The following is a 16496-nucleotide window of genomic DNA, read 5'->3' as shown; positions in this document are numbered from 1 at the left end:
CCCTAAATGATCAATCAGAGTGAAGTGAAGGACTGATATTCTATGATTGAGAGAGAGATGATAAGGTTAGAAAGTCAGACTATAGTCACACTGTGGCAAAATATGGCCTTTATCCCGTAATGGAGCAGGGGATACCATGATTAAAAAGAAATTTTAGAAGAGTGGGTCTACTGTAACACCTACAGGATAGATGGAAGAGGGCAGAACATGGCAGCTAGGAGGACTGTGAGACAGCTATAGCTACAGTTTGAGTGAGGTGACATGGCATGAGTTTCTCATATATCCTTAAGTGATTAGCACAGCCCCCTTCACCTAGAGGAGACTCAAGAATGTTTCTTGGATAGTTGGATGATAACCGTTTTCTGGAACACAACAGATAAATAAGCTATGAATCTGACCCAGTGTTCTTAATACTTAAAAATCTGTCACCTGAATGTCTATCATTACAATGAAGAAAAATTGGCCAAGAGAGGTGGCTTGTGCCTGTAATCCCAGCACTTTGGGAGGCCGTAGTGAGGATTGCCTGAATCCAGGAGTTTGAGACCGGGCAACATGGTAACATGGTAAGTCTCCATTTCTTAAAAAAAAAAAAAGAAAGAAAGAAAGAAAGAAAAATTAACACTTCTCTGTGAAAGAACATCTTAGGGAAGTTTTACATAAACGTTAAAGTCCCTGTGTATGTATGTGTTTATATGTATGTTTCCTTGTAGAAGCAGCTTTTGAACAAATATCACTGGGATAGATTTTTGGTAGTCTGATTTGATGGTGCGCCCTTGGGGTCCTTTCCCAGCCTGACCCTGAGGTGAATGCCAAAGATCTCAATGTTGAGGTGCCCTTGAGCAGCGTGTTGGGGTTCCAGACTTGCAGATCAGCCCCCAGGCGTCTCCCCTCTCCCACCACCCAGCCTATGCCTTACACCTTCCTTCCAGTACTTCCCTGGCTGGTAAACTGGCCTGAAAGGGTCAAGGGAATTTGTTGAGTTTTATATTTCTTCCCTTTGTTCCTAGCTATGGCTGCCAAATCATCTTATTTTTGCAGGAAAATTACTGTGATGTTTTAGATTAATTCAGAGAAGCTTTCAGTGGGCTCCTTAAACATCATACCCAGTGCAGTCTAACAGGCATTTGTTGTGGCAATGGCTTTGTAGTTTTAAAGGTGACCTATAGTCCCAGCAACAAGCATACAGAGAACTCAGTGCATTCTTTTAGAATTGTGAGTGTAAAGTATTGCTTTTTAAGGTTTGCTATTGCTGTACCCAGTATGTTAAATCTAAAACATCAGACATTCTGTAAACACGTTTAAAAATTGAGTTTTGTAAATTTGCCTTATTTTCTTTGTTACAATGGAAAACATTGCTTTCAGTGATTAGGGGAAAAAGTGGATGGCAAATTTAGAAGACACTATGATCCTTTATATCTTTTTTTCTTGGAAAGGCAATTTAATTAGGAAATAATCTTCTCCTGTGACATCTGAGAGTTACCATAAAATGATATCCTGCTTTATTGGCAACAGAACCAGTTTATTTGAGTTTGTTGCAAAATTTTGAGCTATTACATTACTATGAAAAGATAGATTTTAAATAAGAACGACGAGTTTACAAAAATCAGAAATGGCAAAGCACTTTATTTTTTAAAGCAATCCTCGATTTTAAAAAGTACAATTTCAGACGGGCAGGCAGTGGGGGAGCGTATAGGGAAGGAGAAGGAAGCACCAGGGGAGTATGTCTTGGGCCGATCACGCCAGGCCGCAGCTCTGGCTGGTTGTGCGCGTGTGACTGTGTGCACGTGTGTGTGTGCACGCGCAGCCACAGGACCTCTGGGCCCGGCCTTCAGGGGCGCTCCCCGCCCCGGGCTTCCCCGCGGAAGGGAGTGGGGCGCGCGTACCCAGCTGAGGGGCAGGGTCCGACCCGAGGCCGTGTGCAAATGCATCCTTCGCGGACTCTTTGTGTGTCTGAGCGCGGCTCCGCGCCGCCGCAGGCACCATTTTCTGCTTCGCTCAGGACAGGCACATAAAAGGAAGGCGGCTGCCGCCCGTCGCCGTCCTCTTTTCCTCAGATGCCCTCTGCTGCAGGTTTATTATTACAGTACGGGCCGCGCCGCCTCTCCCCACGGCCCTGGCGGGCCGCCGGGCTGTGCAGCACCCTGGCCGCCTTCACGCTTGGCGCGCCCCCAAACCGCCTCCTCCACCTCCTTATTTGTCTGAAAAGCAACCGCACGTCGAGGCGGAGAGGCTGGCCGGGGGCGGGGAGGAAGGCCGGGGATTTGCGCGCGCCGTGCTCCCGGGGCGGGGCCGGGGCGCAGAGCTGCGGGTCCGCTTTGTCTCCCCGGGGCGCCGCGCGGTGCAGTGGGGACGGCGCGGCGAGCGGGGCGCCCGGGGCGCGGGTGCGGGGTGTCGGGGCGCGCGCGCCTGTTGGCCGCTCGCCGACGGGGCCCAGAGCCGCCGATTCCTGCCGAGTAAGCAGTCTGGCTCCTAGGCGGCTGCACAGTGGCAGCAAGGCTGGGGCGCTGGCTCCGCGCCAGCTCCATCAGAATTAGCTCATTGTTCACTAGCACCCTAGCGGGAGAGAGAGGGAAAGGGAGAGAGAGAGACTCTTAGAGAAAGAGAGAGACACACACACTCTTGGAGAGAGAGCGCGAGGCAGGGAGATGATCTCCTCCTCCTTTTTCCAAGGCTGCACTTCTTGGAAGTGAAGCCGGTTTGGGTTTTGTTTCCCTTCCCCCTCCTCCCTCCTCTTCCTCCACCCCTTTCCCCTCCCCCTCCCTCCCCCAATCCCCCCTCCCCCCCCAATCTGTCTTTCTAGCATGTTGCCCTTTTTCAACCACATTTGTGTTTCAGGTGTAGAGAGGAGAGAGAGTGAACAGGGAGCGGGGCTTTTGTCTGTAAGTATATGCCATTCCTATCCCCGGCTGGGAGCGCTGGTTTCTCTTTTGTGTCGATTCCTTGCCGTTGCTCTTAGCTGGACCCTTCAACCCTGCAGAGTTCATGCTTCTTCCCTCTAAATTTTAAAGAGCTGAAGCGTGTACCTTGGAGAAATTCTGGCATTTTGGTTGTGCTGCATTCAGGCTGGAATTTAACTTGGGTTTTTTCTAAAATGCACAAGTTCGGAGGGAGAAATGAATTCTTTTGGGAAGGGGTGGGGTTTTGTGCTTGTTGGTGTGGTTAATTTTGTTCTTCTTGCTCCTAAAGCCTTGTTAGAAACTGTTGTGTTTCTTTGCATTAAATGCACTTTGGTGCATGCAAGCTTTTCCTCCCTTTTTATAAAATGAATTTGTGTCCCTCCGCCCTTACACTTGATTACTCTTTCAATGCTGCTGCTTCCGAGGGTCTTCTTAGGCATTCGATCTTGCAGCACTTTTTTCTGCATTTTCTTATAAAGCAGTTGAACTTTGGCGGGGAGGGCCTTAAAAATAAATGACTGTTTTTTTCTTGGTGATTATAATAATCTGATGTGCATTTATGTGTATCTATAATAACATTATAGGAAAACTCTAAGAGCGAATGATACCCTTTTTGAGAACTTTTAGTTTCTCCATTCATCTTAATTTTTGTCATAACTGTGTTAACAAAAGAGCGGTCTTCTGATAATATAAAGGTTGAGGGTAAATCACTGCAGCAGTATGTACATTAATGTTTATTTGGTTTAGGGAGAAGGACAGAATGGTGTATATTCCTGACTCCCCCCACCCCCCCCGCCGTGTAGGGTTTTTTTTTTTTTTTTAAACACGGAAGGTTATGTAATGCAGTGCCATTTCCAAAAATATCCACTCTGAGGCATTACACTACACGGTGGAAGGCTGATTCCTATTCTGTCGTCTTGATTGCAAATATACTGCCAGTAGTATGTCTGGGAACAAAGAGCAGCCAGAAAACAATCTATTTTTATCACTTGGTTCTACTTTTAAGTTGCTAAACCTTTTGAACTCATGCAATTTAAAGATGAACCAAACACTAAGAATAGCCCAGGACTCTGCAAAGCCAAGTACCAGGGATTCCTTTGTCCCTTAGTTAAGCCTATAGGCCACTTGGAAAGCTCTTTCAGAAATCCCAGTAGTTAACAATAATTTGCATGTAACTTATCTTAACCACAGAAAATGGTTATTCGTCTGTAACCTCTAAAGAGGCATTTTTCGTTTGCTGACCTGTGGTGAGGCGATGTGTCTACTGTATTTAAACATATTTTGCAGGTTGGTCTCCCTGGACTGAAGAGAGGGAGAATAGAAGCCCAAGACTAAGATTCTCAAAATGGTAAGACTTGGTCATCAGAGGAGATTCTCAGTACTTCTTACCAGTCTGTTACATATAAATATCAACCACCCATCTTCATCCGCCTCAACCCTTCATTGTTCTACACCCCATCTGACCTTTAAAAGGTTCTATCTCCAGTTCCTGGGAGCGTTGCAGTACAGCAATTTATGTGAATTGGATGTGGCAAATTAGTTCTTTGACTTGCAATTATTTTGAATAGAAAACTAAAATTCCTCTTTCAGAAGTGAGGATTTATTTAATTTGAACAACAGAAACTATTCGGTTCTTTAAGAAGAGTGATGTGTTGTGACACGCATGGAGGTGGTGACAGCAGTAGGGCTCAAACAAAGCCTTGGGTCTTAGAGCTAGGCCGAAGTTACCCAAAACTGAGGAGTCTGTCCAGCTGATCAAACAGCTACTGTATATGCTATCCTTTAAAGCAATATAGATGAAAAGCATGAATTTTTATATTAATGTGCCCCATCTATTTAAATATAATTACTGTTATTTTTCTCGATTTATAATTTCATTTGTGAGAGACATGTACTCAATTTTAGAAGTCAAGCATGTTAACCTCTAAATAAAAGTATAACTATTTCTGACAAAGCTTATGATCCACAGAGAATGCAGTTTAATGTTTGATTACTGATTAAGGAAACAGAAGGAATACACATTAAAAGCAGCTGAATAAGTATATTAATCATCTATGAAAAATTTCCTCTTTGGAAATAAGATGAACTAAAAAAAATAATAGAAATATCATAAAACTTTTTAGTGAAGTACAGCGTGTCCTACTGCAGATGTTTATACTCTTTAAAACACCTCTTTGTCACTTAGAATGTGTGATTTCCAAATTTAGTTTTAGTTTTTTTCTTTGAAACGAGGGTGGAATTTAATGAATCAAAATTTAATCTGATATCTTTGATGTTTTCTTTGAGAACAACCCAAGTATAAGCTTCCAAGGAGAAAAATGAATCAGGCAGTTAAATGAGTTCAGTTTGATTTTTATTAACAAGTGTTTTATTTTTTATGTATGCGTCACTTGTCATTTCAACAAGTGGGTGTCAAAGCACCACATGGACCTTGTTTGAAAATGATCAAATTAAGGAACTTGAGGTAGAAAGACAAAAGAAGTGAACATAAAATTAAGCTAATCAATGGATTTTGTGCAAATGGTTCCCAACTTCATATTAAATTCTTAATTAGCTGTTGTCATAGAATAATAGGATGGTAATAAAATCAACTGCTGTAAAGTATTTGTGTTTACTTATTTTTTACTGTGACTGGCCACATCACCTTGCCTCCAAGCTCTTTATCTCAGAACGTTACCTACTTTCTGTGACCATAAATAGATCACAGAGGTTTCATGTATGTTGCAATATGTCAGGTGACCAGTTTAAACATAAATATGACTATGGACCCTACCAAAACTAACTCTATAGATCAAGCTCAAAGAGTAAGATACCATGTTTCTGTAGTAGTAAGTAGAATGAGCTTTGTAGAAGGTAAGCATGCCTGCCAAAGCTGAGAGTGGAAGTTGGAACCATTTGAATGCAGAAAAGCAAATGCAAATTATTATTACGTGTTAATTTTTTTGCAGTTGTCGTTTATGTATGGTGGCAGAATGGGGAATCACAATTTGTTGCTCCTGGAAGGATTTTTACTCATGAAAAAATTCTCACAACTTTTTGGTGATCCTTTCATCAAGATGTCAGTCCCTTTTGGCACAAGCCCATTGCCTGAAATGAAACCACTGACAGTTATTGTCTGTGGGTGATTCCAAGTAACTTTCTAGCAATTCTCTTTTTCCAGAAAGTCTTGAGATCTTAAAAGTCTTTGCACATATTAATGTAAAAAAAGGTTTCACTTTTTTTTTTTTTAAGAAGTGATATTAGAGGTGTCTTTGTATCTCCTCTTTCTGCCTTTTGGCAAAATCAAGTTAGTTTTCTTCCCTTGATTAAAATTGGAATTACTTTGTGGACCTCTGTAACTGGCTTACTTAGAGTGAAGACTTAGCCCACATACAGTAGAAACTGCTTCTAGTGAAGCAGTAGATTTGTCTCCTGGACACCTCTAGAAAATACATAAGCATGGCTCTCCTGTTAAACTTGTATTTCCAGTTACATAATTTAAAACGCTAAAGAGGATCTAATTTCAGTATATTTTACCTATTTAGTAAAGGGCTTATTTCAAATACAAATTTATAATCAGCTCATTTTAGTGTAAGAAATTATTTAGTAGATTCCAGAATTCGTAACAGTGACTCAATATCTAGACTTTTTACGTATCTAAAATGATAATGTTTTACAACAATAATGTGGAGACACTTAAGGATTCTCGAGTCCCTTCTGTATCATTTATATATCTATAAAATATATATATAATCTATATATATCTACATATCATATATATATACATATATATATATATATATATATAAAATCAACTTGTGCAGCTCTAGGAGGCACCAATTACATGTGTTCTGTGTATGGGCCTCCTTGAACGCCACTGCACGGAGTGCTATTTACATAAAGTTGTGCATGGTGGCACCTAGGGTTGTGCAACTCAAGAGTACTGTTAAAAGTGTCAGTTTTGAGTATAGTTTGCTGTATCTTAGTTGAACAGAACATTTTTTTCAATAAGTCATTCTCCAACTTTTTGTTTTCTAGTAAATATGCCTCTCCCACCCCCACAGTTTTGTGTTTTTTTTTGCAATTAGTAGGATATTAAGTCTTCAGCATTTCTTTAATTTACATTTGGCTTTCTGCTAAATTTTAATTGCTATGATTGTATTTTACATGAGATCTATTTAGGTATTCTATTTTAAAGGCACTTGCTTTGGATAAGTTAATGAGAAGAAAACAGTTCAGAATGAATAGATGATCCTATTGAATAGTTTGAAAAAATAAGTTATTTAATCCAATGTCAAGGTTAAGTCCTGGTTTTCAACATGATTGCCTTCTACACAGTGAACTTGCCTCTCAGTGTGTGTGTGTGCCATGGACTCACAGTGACGTAAGCATGAGTTCATTATGTTTTAACAGAGACCTAGGAATTGGAACAATATAAGTTCTCTTTAAGACTGATGCTGAGCTTTTAAAACAGATGAGTTGACTCCATTGTACCATTCATAGAGCTCTGCTTTCTGTATAGTTTGTGAAGTGGCATTCATGGGCTTACAAGAAGACTCTTTCAATAATCTCTCCATTAACATAAGGTTTCCTTGTTTAAAGAAAAAGACAAAGATTGGGGAGGGATGCGGTCCTATTCATAGCTTGTACCATTGGGCTTAGAATGTAAATATACCAGTTGCTCAGTGACTCTTGATTGTGGAGATGCTGAAGAGTACCTAAGAGAATAATTTTATATGGTACTGTCTTTTTCACCACAGTTTCCAGTGAACAGTGAGGGAGAGAATTGGGAATCGTTTGAGGAATTAGGACAGTTGGGATAGTCTATTTGGGTTAGCCCAGTCCTGCTTCCTCTTGAGCTATAGAGATAATTCAGGTAGGAAAAGGTATTTGAGCAGCAATCTTAGAATAAACAGCTGTTCCGAGTATCATTCCATTTTAACCTGATACAGTTCTTTAAAAGATGTAAATCAGATCATCATCATAAATACATTGAAGAAATTTACTTTGTTTTAAATCCTGAGATGACTACTTCTAAAATAGGAAAATATACTTCTAAAATATGAATACTCTGCTAAACCAAATGAGTGAAACCCAAATTTATACTTGGCCATTAATGAATTTTATACTTTGAAGTATTAATTTACTTGGTCAGTTAAAGACCTGATGTGGCATTCAGATGCACTGGGCTGACTGGGGATCCTTGGCGTAACTTCGTGGTCCTACATTTTTTTTAATTAGTGCTGTTCCTGGTTGGAAAGTCTTTTAAGGCCATATCCTCATAGCCAAAGTGAAATGGAGGGTTGAAATAATTATCTGAATAATTATGCTCAAAAAATTGATTTTGTCTGATTCATCTTGGTAATTCCAAATGTTGCTGGAGTGATGTAGGAGTGAAGGATTTGCCTGAATTATCTGTATAATTCCCGTGTTATACAAGAAAAAACTAGGGATAAGGAAATCGTACCAGCAAATCCAATTTGAATATACCAGAGGAAAATGTACTGAATGTACTTGGATTATGTCATCTTGGTTGGTAAAGATATATTACAATATATCAATTTTAAAGGCTCCTCTACTTTGTACTGGATAGCAGGTTAATCATAAATTCTTAGTCCACATCTGTAGAAATTATGATTGCTAAGAATATTTATTGGGTGTAAATTTATTTGAAATAGATTTTTCTGAATATATTTTGTACCTAGGAAGAGCTTCAAGAATAGTTCATTTCAATGGTTTAAAAAATAGCAGTGATCCTGAAATTGATCTGTTAGTGCAAAAGTATTAACAGCCCTAATGGTTTGGGACTTAAGCATTAACACGGCTCTCAGCTAAATTCTAAATATCACTTCAGTTATTAGTAGTAATACCATGGTATTAACCAGGGTGCGATTATTTGTTAGTTGGATCATATGCATTTCTTTCCTTGCTCAACTAAATTATAGGCCCCAGAAGGTTTTATAAACTTCATATAGTGCTTGGTAAAGTATTAAGTACATGGTAGAAGCTCAACAAATATTTCATCTATGCATATTAACATCTATTAAGTTGAATTTTTTTAATTCATTCTTAATGATTTAATCGTGTTTAGTTTTTGTGAACTAGAAGTAATTTGTATCCTTAACCTCTTTTTTAAAAGAGGTAGGAAGCCGAAATGAATGCAATTTTAGTTTACACAGAAAATTATTTTCCATTATTAAAGGGATAAAACAAAGTGCGGTGAAACCATAAAGTGTGGCACTTGCCAAAAGAACGTGACTTGCAATGGCTAACCTTTCCCAGCTTCCAGAGCCACACTCCGGCAGTGTGGTGCGATGCCATCTCTCTGGGTTGGATCCAGCTATGGTATTTAAAGCTCACAGCAGCTTTTCCTGCAGCCTGGACCCAAGAGGAGCTTTACTCCCAGTATTGGAACTTTCTAGCCTTCACTTAGTTCAGTAGAAGCTATTTCTGTGATTCTGTGATGTGCAGCAAACTTAACAATGTAAAACAATATAATCTAGTGCTAAATGGTACGAGTGATGTTAGTGAGGACTGGGGATTGGGGATAGTGGAAAACTTATATTAAGAAGGTAGAAATTAAGCTGGAGCCAGAAATAGCAAGAATATGGCTATCTCCATCACTAACTTTTATACCTGTGGGAGACATTGCTAATCAACCTTGACACTCGTTATTATTCAGCTTGAGTATGATTTCAAAATCCTCAATACAGTGTTCCAGGGCGCCATTAACGATTGGAGTTGGCACAAAATTTGAAACTAGAAGTGGACTATTTGCTCCTTGAGAGTAAGTACTATGCTTTTATTAAGCTTTTTATTTCTAGGACTTAGGACCAGTCCTTATATTGAGTGAGTGAAGACTTAAGAATATTTGGGTAGATTTAGATGAGAGAGAGGAGTATTCCAGATAAAAGGAGTGCATTAGAGAGTTAGGCTTGCAAGAGTAAGCATAGTACCTTTTTACTATCATAGGGGAGATCTTCCTCCTTGTTTAGGACCTCTGTGCTGTCAAGGACAGACCTCAAAAACTAGACCTAGAAGTCAAGGACTTGATGTGCTAAGCAATAGGAAGCCCCTGAGCAGGCATCTTAGAGATGGCCCAGGGCTCTCACTCAGGTTACCAACCTGTCTCAGGTTCTTTGCCTTTTGATTGTGCTTAACAGGAAAGAACACACACACTCACTCACTTACACTTTCTGGTTAAAGGTACAGCTTACTTTATTGCTCCCTCTCACTCCCCTTAGGCTGGGGTGGAATGGTGGAGAGAAGAAAGGTCTCTAGCTAGAAGGAACTGGGAAGGGAAAAGGGAGCATGCTTATCCTTTTCTTGAGAAACTGGCAGCACTTTCATTGGCAGATCCCAGCAGGTTCAGCAGTGTCTGCTTGGCCAGAGAGTATGTTGCTGCCTTGCAAGCTCCCCGATAGAAAGATCATGCTTCCCTCCTGTGAGGCTGACTGGGTGCTGGCATGTGCTAATCAGTTGCACCCCCATGTACCTAGCTGCTTTTCTCTTTCCATTTCTTCCCGATTAACCATACTTATTGAAAATGTAAGCCAACGCTTATGTCATCACAATAAAATTGTTTACAATTTGAGGCCTACATGCTGTTACTAATGTAGTCAGTAGTGTGGTGACCAACCAAAGAGAATCTCCTCACATGATAGACGAAAATCGAGTAAAGCCAAGTCCAAGAGGGATTTTTTTTTTTTCCTGCAATCTCTTATAAATAGCACAGAATGTTACCTTGGAATGCATCAGCTGCAAGATTTTCAACATGAAATGATGTGACTAGCTCTTTTAACCCCTTTAGATGAGGTGGTACTTGTCTGTAAATCTCTCAGTAAAAGTGACATAGGTAAGCATTGCTCCTTGAATTCTTTATGCCTTCTCCACCTCATACCTTCAAGTAATTTTTTTTCACCTGCTATGTTTAGAACTTCCAAAGTTTTATTTCTGCGGCTTGACAGATAAGCCAGGAACTATATGAATTAATCCTTTATTTCTAGCCATAGTGGATTGTATTTTCTTAGAGGGAGCAGGCTACTTCTTATTCTCAACTGCCCCAGGATTCCCTCTTTCTGTGCCTTTGCTTATCTTGATTCTAGAAGGAATACACCTCCTGACAAAATAAAGCCATTCTTCAAGACTGAATTTGAATGGCAACTCCTCTATGAAACACCATAGTACATTCAGCAGGAATCTTCTTATGTTCCTCTGTATACTTATCACATGTTTAACTTTCTTCTTGCGGCTGGCTTATTTCTGCATGTTTTTCTACCCTCCGAGGTTGTATACTTGATAGAAGAATATTGACCACTTAGTAACTGAGCAACACCTTTCCCTTTTTGGTAGCAGTTGAGGCTGTGATGCCTTTTTTTTCCATTTCCTCTACCAGTGGGATGGTGAATTCAGATGTAGAAAAGTTTCATTACTGAGAGAGAACTTTCAGTAATGAAATTGTAGAGAAATTGGTGTTCTCTTTCTACAAAGTGGTTTGGTGTTCTCTTTCTACAAAGTGAAAGGAAACTCTAACCTTCACTGACATTTCCTAATGAGACCTTGGAATAGATCCCACACCATGAACCAGTCTAATCTGTGCTCCCATACCTAACTAGGATCTGGCACATCCTCAGTGATCAACAACTGTCTGCGGAATAAATGAATGAGTCAGTGGTCATGGATACATGACAATCTGTTATTTCTGGGCAGGACCAGGTTGCCCACTTTGGTATCATACAATGAGTCATGGCCGGACACTGCACTGCTGTGATAGCTTGGTTATAAGTCAGGCATTCCGGGAAATGAAATGAACAGGCACTGATGAACAATTTACTACTGAAAAGAGGCTTTCAGTGAACATTTTAGAAGGCTCAAATGTTTGGGAAGTAAGGGGGAAGAGTTAAGTGAGATCTAAGCACACTACAAAAATGACTCCTAAAATTCTGTGTTCCATTCTTTTGCACTCCTTTGGGCAGAAGAGGTCCTGAGAATCCAGAAAGCTAGGTTGGTATGGTCTGATAAAAAAGGAATATCACTTTAGGGTAGTGGCACACATCTTATCCACAACACTGGCTGTGGGGCGCCACTATGCGTGAGGGTATTAATGGTGCTTTTCCAGCGGGCAGCACAGTTTGTCTCAATAGTCTGACTGAGGCAGTCATGACAGTAGACCAAATCTGCCCTGGTTTCACAGGGTAATGAAATCTTTTAAAGTGAAATTGTTGCCCATTATGACCTTAGAATGGTTTCTAATCTAAGCTTTTTGCCTTGAAAGTGTTATGATAATCTAGCTAGAGATATTTTTAAATCCCTGATTTTAGACTGCTTGGTTCAGTGTTCCTCCTTATTTTCATGGAGCAAAATATAAATATAACTTATATTCAAGAAGGAGAAGGAGTAAATAACATAAGAGAACGTGGCATGAAAGGAAGGTCTGTCTGCCCCTTTTCACTGAAATTTGGGAACCAGAGCCATTGATTGAAAAGGAAGGGGGAGTAGCCAAGTAGTTGTTGCCAATAAAAATGCCAAGCCAAAGACTCACCAATAGGTAATTAAAACAACAGGGAGACTCATAATGTGCACAGAAGTTTTGCTGTGGCTGCCAGCTCCAGCTCTTCTCTCCCCCATCCCAGCTCTTACTCAGATCACCATCACACACCATGTCCTTTGATTACTGGAGCAGGTAACAGCCTTCCTGCTGAATTGAGTTTGATACATTTCCAGCAGGGAAAAGTACTACAGTCCAGTGGCTGAACAAGGAGAAATCTACAAAAGTTGTTTTGTTTAAAACGGGTCCAGGCATCCTGAGGACGCTTTCATTGGATAAAGTTGGTGTCTGATATATAACTTATTCTTGGACAGGAAAGAGTAGAAATTAGGAGAAGATACTGCTTCTTTGCCAGCCAACTTTCAGACTATCAAGGGAAAACTAGTCAGTATTTATATGGATAAAACTTATTGACTAAGGTGCTTATAAACATGACCCAAGTAAGGGTTTGATATTAACTATTTCCTCCACGAAGTACTGTTTCATGCCTCCCACTCAGTCATCCTAGTGAAAGCCACCCAGAAGGCTCATTGGGACCATGATGTCAAAGTCTGTTCTTGTGCTCATTTGCCAGACATTGTTGAGTGTCAGTAGATGAGTGCGCCATGTGGGTTAGGCAGCACATGGTTGAACACTTAACCTAGTGCCTTCTGCATCAGAGGAACTCAGTTAATAGTAGCTTAAAGAATGAATGCTGTGCAGGGAATGTACCCACCGTTTAAAAGCATGCAATATCGGAATTTCAGTTGTGTTGTTAACAGAATTAGAATTTGAATAGATAAATCATATGAACTAGCCCACCCCTTTCCTGAGTAGACTTCCGGGGATTTGGTGGCTTAGTTTGAAAAAATCTTTTTGTAAAAGTATTTTCTTTGCTACTTTGATATTTCCAGCCCAAACTAATGGGACTTACTCTTTGATAAGATGCTAATTGTATAGGATTAAAAACTGCCTATGAAATATTCAATACCTGCAGAATGTACTTAGTAAATATGTCTTTATTGACTGGGTAATTGAGATTATATACCTAGCCAATTTAGTTAATATAGGATCAAAAATTCTGTCCATATCTCTGAGCCCTTATCTTCACAATTTTAGTCCTTTATTAATTGGATTTAACTTTTCCAAAGCCTGGATGCTGTGGACCAGAACTGAGTCTCCATTTCTTACTGCCCTGTGGAGTCTTGGGTCTAAATATATACCATGAAATGCCCTGGCCTTGCATATTTTTTTTACTTCTTGATAATAGAATCTTAAATTGTTTTGATCTTGTTATCAAGGTCTGGGAGACAAGTCTCCACATCTTTTCATTTAATCTTTATTAAACCTGTTTTTCCTTTTTTTAAAAAAAAATGATAACCACTTTTTGAACTTTAATTTTACTATATGAGGCTTGACTGTCTACACTGGCATAATCAATCAATTCAATCAGAAATCCAATTAAATTTGTTCTTTGCATCATAGAAACAATTCATCTGATAATCATTGTGAATTTTTACTAAATTGATGAGCTATTATGTTGTTTAGATGAAGTCAGAGGGTCACTACATCTTTGACTGTGATTGAATACAGTACTCTACCTGCAATATGAGGATCAAATACAGCATACCTAATTATTTGCTATTTGATACCTTTAGGATGTTAATAATTAGTTTGTTGCCCCATCTGCATCTTTCCATTTGTCCATCTTTAGAACTGGCTGGATTTCTAATACATTAATTAAAGGTTTCCAGATGGAGTCTGGTTAAATTTATTTTTCTTCCTGAATTTATCATTCTTAGTAGTTTATATACTGCCTCTCTTGTCTGAAAAGTGTTTATATTCTTCAACTGAGAGGAACAAAAACACTTCATATTTTTATGCAGTATATGGTTTGTGTGTCTGCAGATCATTGATAAAATATTTTTTAACTAAGCAGTTTGTTTTTAAATTGAGTTAACATTTCGAAAAGCAAAGTTATAGTGAACAGGATTTCAAATGCAGTTGATGAAAGAGAAAGCTATACTGAATTAGATTGTCCATTGGTAGCCATCTGAGAAGGAACTGTTTGAGAGTTCATTTGGGGGTCATATAAAACAATCTGGTTTCTCAGCAAATGCGTTTTGTTATTAGCTGCAATGATGCTACATATTTATATTGTGCTGGACATTTCCTTCCAGGGAACATTGAAAAAAGAAAAAAACTGTGGTTACTAGTATTGCTTGGGTTTAATTAGATCCAAAGTCTTAATGTGGCCAAGCCAAAGTTGTTACTCTAAGACTGGTCTTTCCTCCAGGACTGTAGCAACACATGAACACTGGAGACCTTGGGCAGGTTCCCTGACTATTCTCCCTCAGTGTTCTCATCTGTAAAATGGTGACGATGATGATAATAGTAGCTAACACAGATCTGCTTACTTATGTGCCTGATCCTGTTGCCAGCGCTTTATATATATTTGGGTTTATTTCTTCCTTGTGGTAACATTGTGAAGATTAAATGAGTGCACCTGGAAAACCTGCCCAAAGTTAACAAAACATTATAGTGGATTGTACTATGCATTTCTACAGAAAACTGTGGGTTCCCGAATTTACATACTCTGTCTCTGTGGGTTCCAACTACTCCTGTTTATTGCTCATAGTTCCCTTCTTTTGGAGAAGTATAGTTGTGGTGTTTGGTTTACAATGGAAGAAAGACTGAGGGGAAAAATCTATGGTTGAGGTCTTCTCTTGTTGGAGAATACAGTCAGAATTTGGAATGAAAGCCTGAGTTTCCACTACTACCTTTTTCATATTAAACTACCGATGATTCTTTTTCTAGGGAACTTAAGCCTCTAGTTTGGATTTTCACAACTCTTGAAGCCTGTGTTTCTTGGGTGACAACTAGCCCTGAAACACATCTGTTTGGGTTGGGAGCTCCTCCCTTCAGTCTTCTCTGCCTCACATGGTACTGCCGGACTGAATCCCTCATCAGAGAGAAGCCCTCTACTTAATCAGACTTGGCTCCACCCAGAGGGGTTGAAAACCCAGGTGGTGTGCAGGGGCATATCCATTCTAACCCTATTCCATTCCTCTTGTACTTTTAGTTTTCTGACAGTTTTCTTAGAAGCCTCTTAGTGGCTTCTTTTTGTCCTGAGCATTTAAATAGCATGTGGATACAGATCTGGATATATTTTTTCTTCTTTAAAAAAAAGTCAGAATTCTTACCAGATAAGAATTCTGTACCCTGTGATTTACACCAATTTTAATTACATCCATCTGCAATAGAAACCACTTTCCCTCCAAATTTAGTGGTCTGTTATGATACTATTTGCTATTGAAGAGATACCAGTTTTTAAATGACCAGGACAGTGCAAGACAAGCATTGAATTGTGAAATAACTTTAGCTAAATGCTGAAGGGTTTGCAGCTACCAGTAGAAGAGGATACATTGATGGAAAGAGTGAATAGTTTCTTTTGGAATGAGCACTTCGGGGGAAAATGCAGACTTTCTGGAAAGCTCTGTCTTGCACATGTCAACAAGAGGAATGCTTTGAAATCGCTTCAGACTCTTCAAAGCAACTAACTATCTCATCCACCCAGACCAAGAAAAATCCAAAATCCTATGTCTAAATAAATACTTACCTCATCAGCCCTTAACTGAAGGCTTTAACAAAAGAAATCGTATTTTTGAATAATTATTCTTTCATGTTGTTGGGGGAAAATTTTCATAAGATTTTAGTGGATAGCACAGTAATTTTTGGACAGAAGGAAAGAAAACATAGCATTCTTGGTGACTAGAAATTAAACTTCATATAGTTATTTGAAGGTGAAACTCGGCATAGCAAACTTAAAATTATTCAAACCAGCTAATAAAAGCAAGTCTAGATGTTTCCTATTAACCTTGGAATGTGCTTGGAAAAAGCCCTGCTACTCCAGATGTCTAGTATTAGAAAGCATATCAACAGCTTTTACTCTCAATTGTGGTGAATAATACCATTCTAAAATTCACAAGTGCAGTTTGGTGTGCTGGGGCATAATATAGAATTAGTATTCAAGTTTGTTCTTTCTTTTTAAATTCTTAATATATCTTAAAAGTCGGAGAAACATCACAAGATGT

General features: G+C 39.3%; 1 protein-coding gene across 11 annotated transcripts in view, besides 3 other annotated features; it reads left to right on the top strand.

Annotated features, from left to right (window-relative positions):
- Nucleotides 1–16496, top strand: part of NREP (neuronal regeneration related protein) — a 248131-nt gene that overhangs the window by 216918 nt on the left and 14717 nt on the right. Inside the window, exons 1-3 of one of the 11 annotated variants that reach the window (NM_001142476.1) lie at nucleotides 1797–2070; nucleotides 2836–2879; nucleotides 4185–4245. The exons of 2 other annotated variants lie outside the window; for them this stretch is intronic. In NM_001142476.1, coding sequence (NP_001135948.1) covers nucleotides 4243–4245 — 3 coding nt within the window. In that variant the 5' untranslated portion in view covers nucleotides 1797–2070; nucleotides 2836–2879; nucleotides 4185–4242. 8 more of the 11 variants (NM_001142477.1, NM_001142478.2, NM_001142480.1 and 5 more) reach the window with 8 other exon arrangements.
- Nucleotides 1691–2050: a silencer, noted in NCBI's record as "silent region_16235". NCBI's record gives its function as "represses an Ori minimal core promoter by ATAC-STARR-seq in GM12878 lymphoblastoid cells {active_cell/tissue: GM12878}" and the evidence as "EXISTENCE:reporter gene assay evidence [ECO:0000049][PMID:35858748]".
- Nucleotides 2071–2470: a silencer, noted in NCBI's record as "silent region_16234". NCBI's record gives its function as "represses an Ori minimal core promoter by ATAC-STARR-seq in GM12878 lymphoblastoid cells {active_cell/tissue: GM12878}" and the evidence as "EXISTENCE:reporter gene assay evidence [ECO:0000049][PMID:35858748]".
- Nucleotides 3064–3621: an enhancer, noted in NCBI's record as "H3K27ac hESC enhancer chr5:111092091-111092648 (GRCh37/hg19 assembly coordinates)". NCBI's record gives its function as "activates a minimal SCP1, AML or CMV promoter by ChIP-STARR-seq in primed H9 embryonic stem cells {active_cell/tissue: H9 hESC(primed)}" and the evidence as "EXISTENCE:reporter gene assay evidence [ECO:0000049][PMID:30033119]".

The sequence above is a fragment of the Homo sapiens genome, chromosome 5, assembly GCF_000001405.40.
Source record: "Homo sapiens chromosome 5, GRCh38.p14 Primary Assembly".
NCBI lineage: Eukaryota > Metazoa > Chordata > Mammalia > Primates > Hominidae > Homo > Homo sapiens.
Note: the sequence above shows the minus strand (reverse complement) of the source record. Positions and strands in the feature narration are given on the sequence as shown.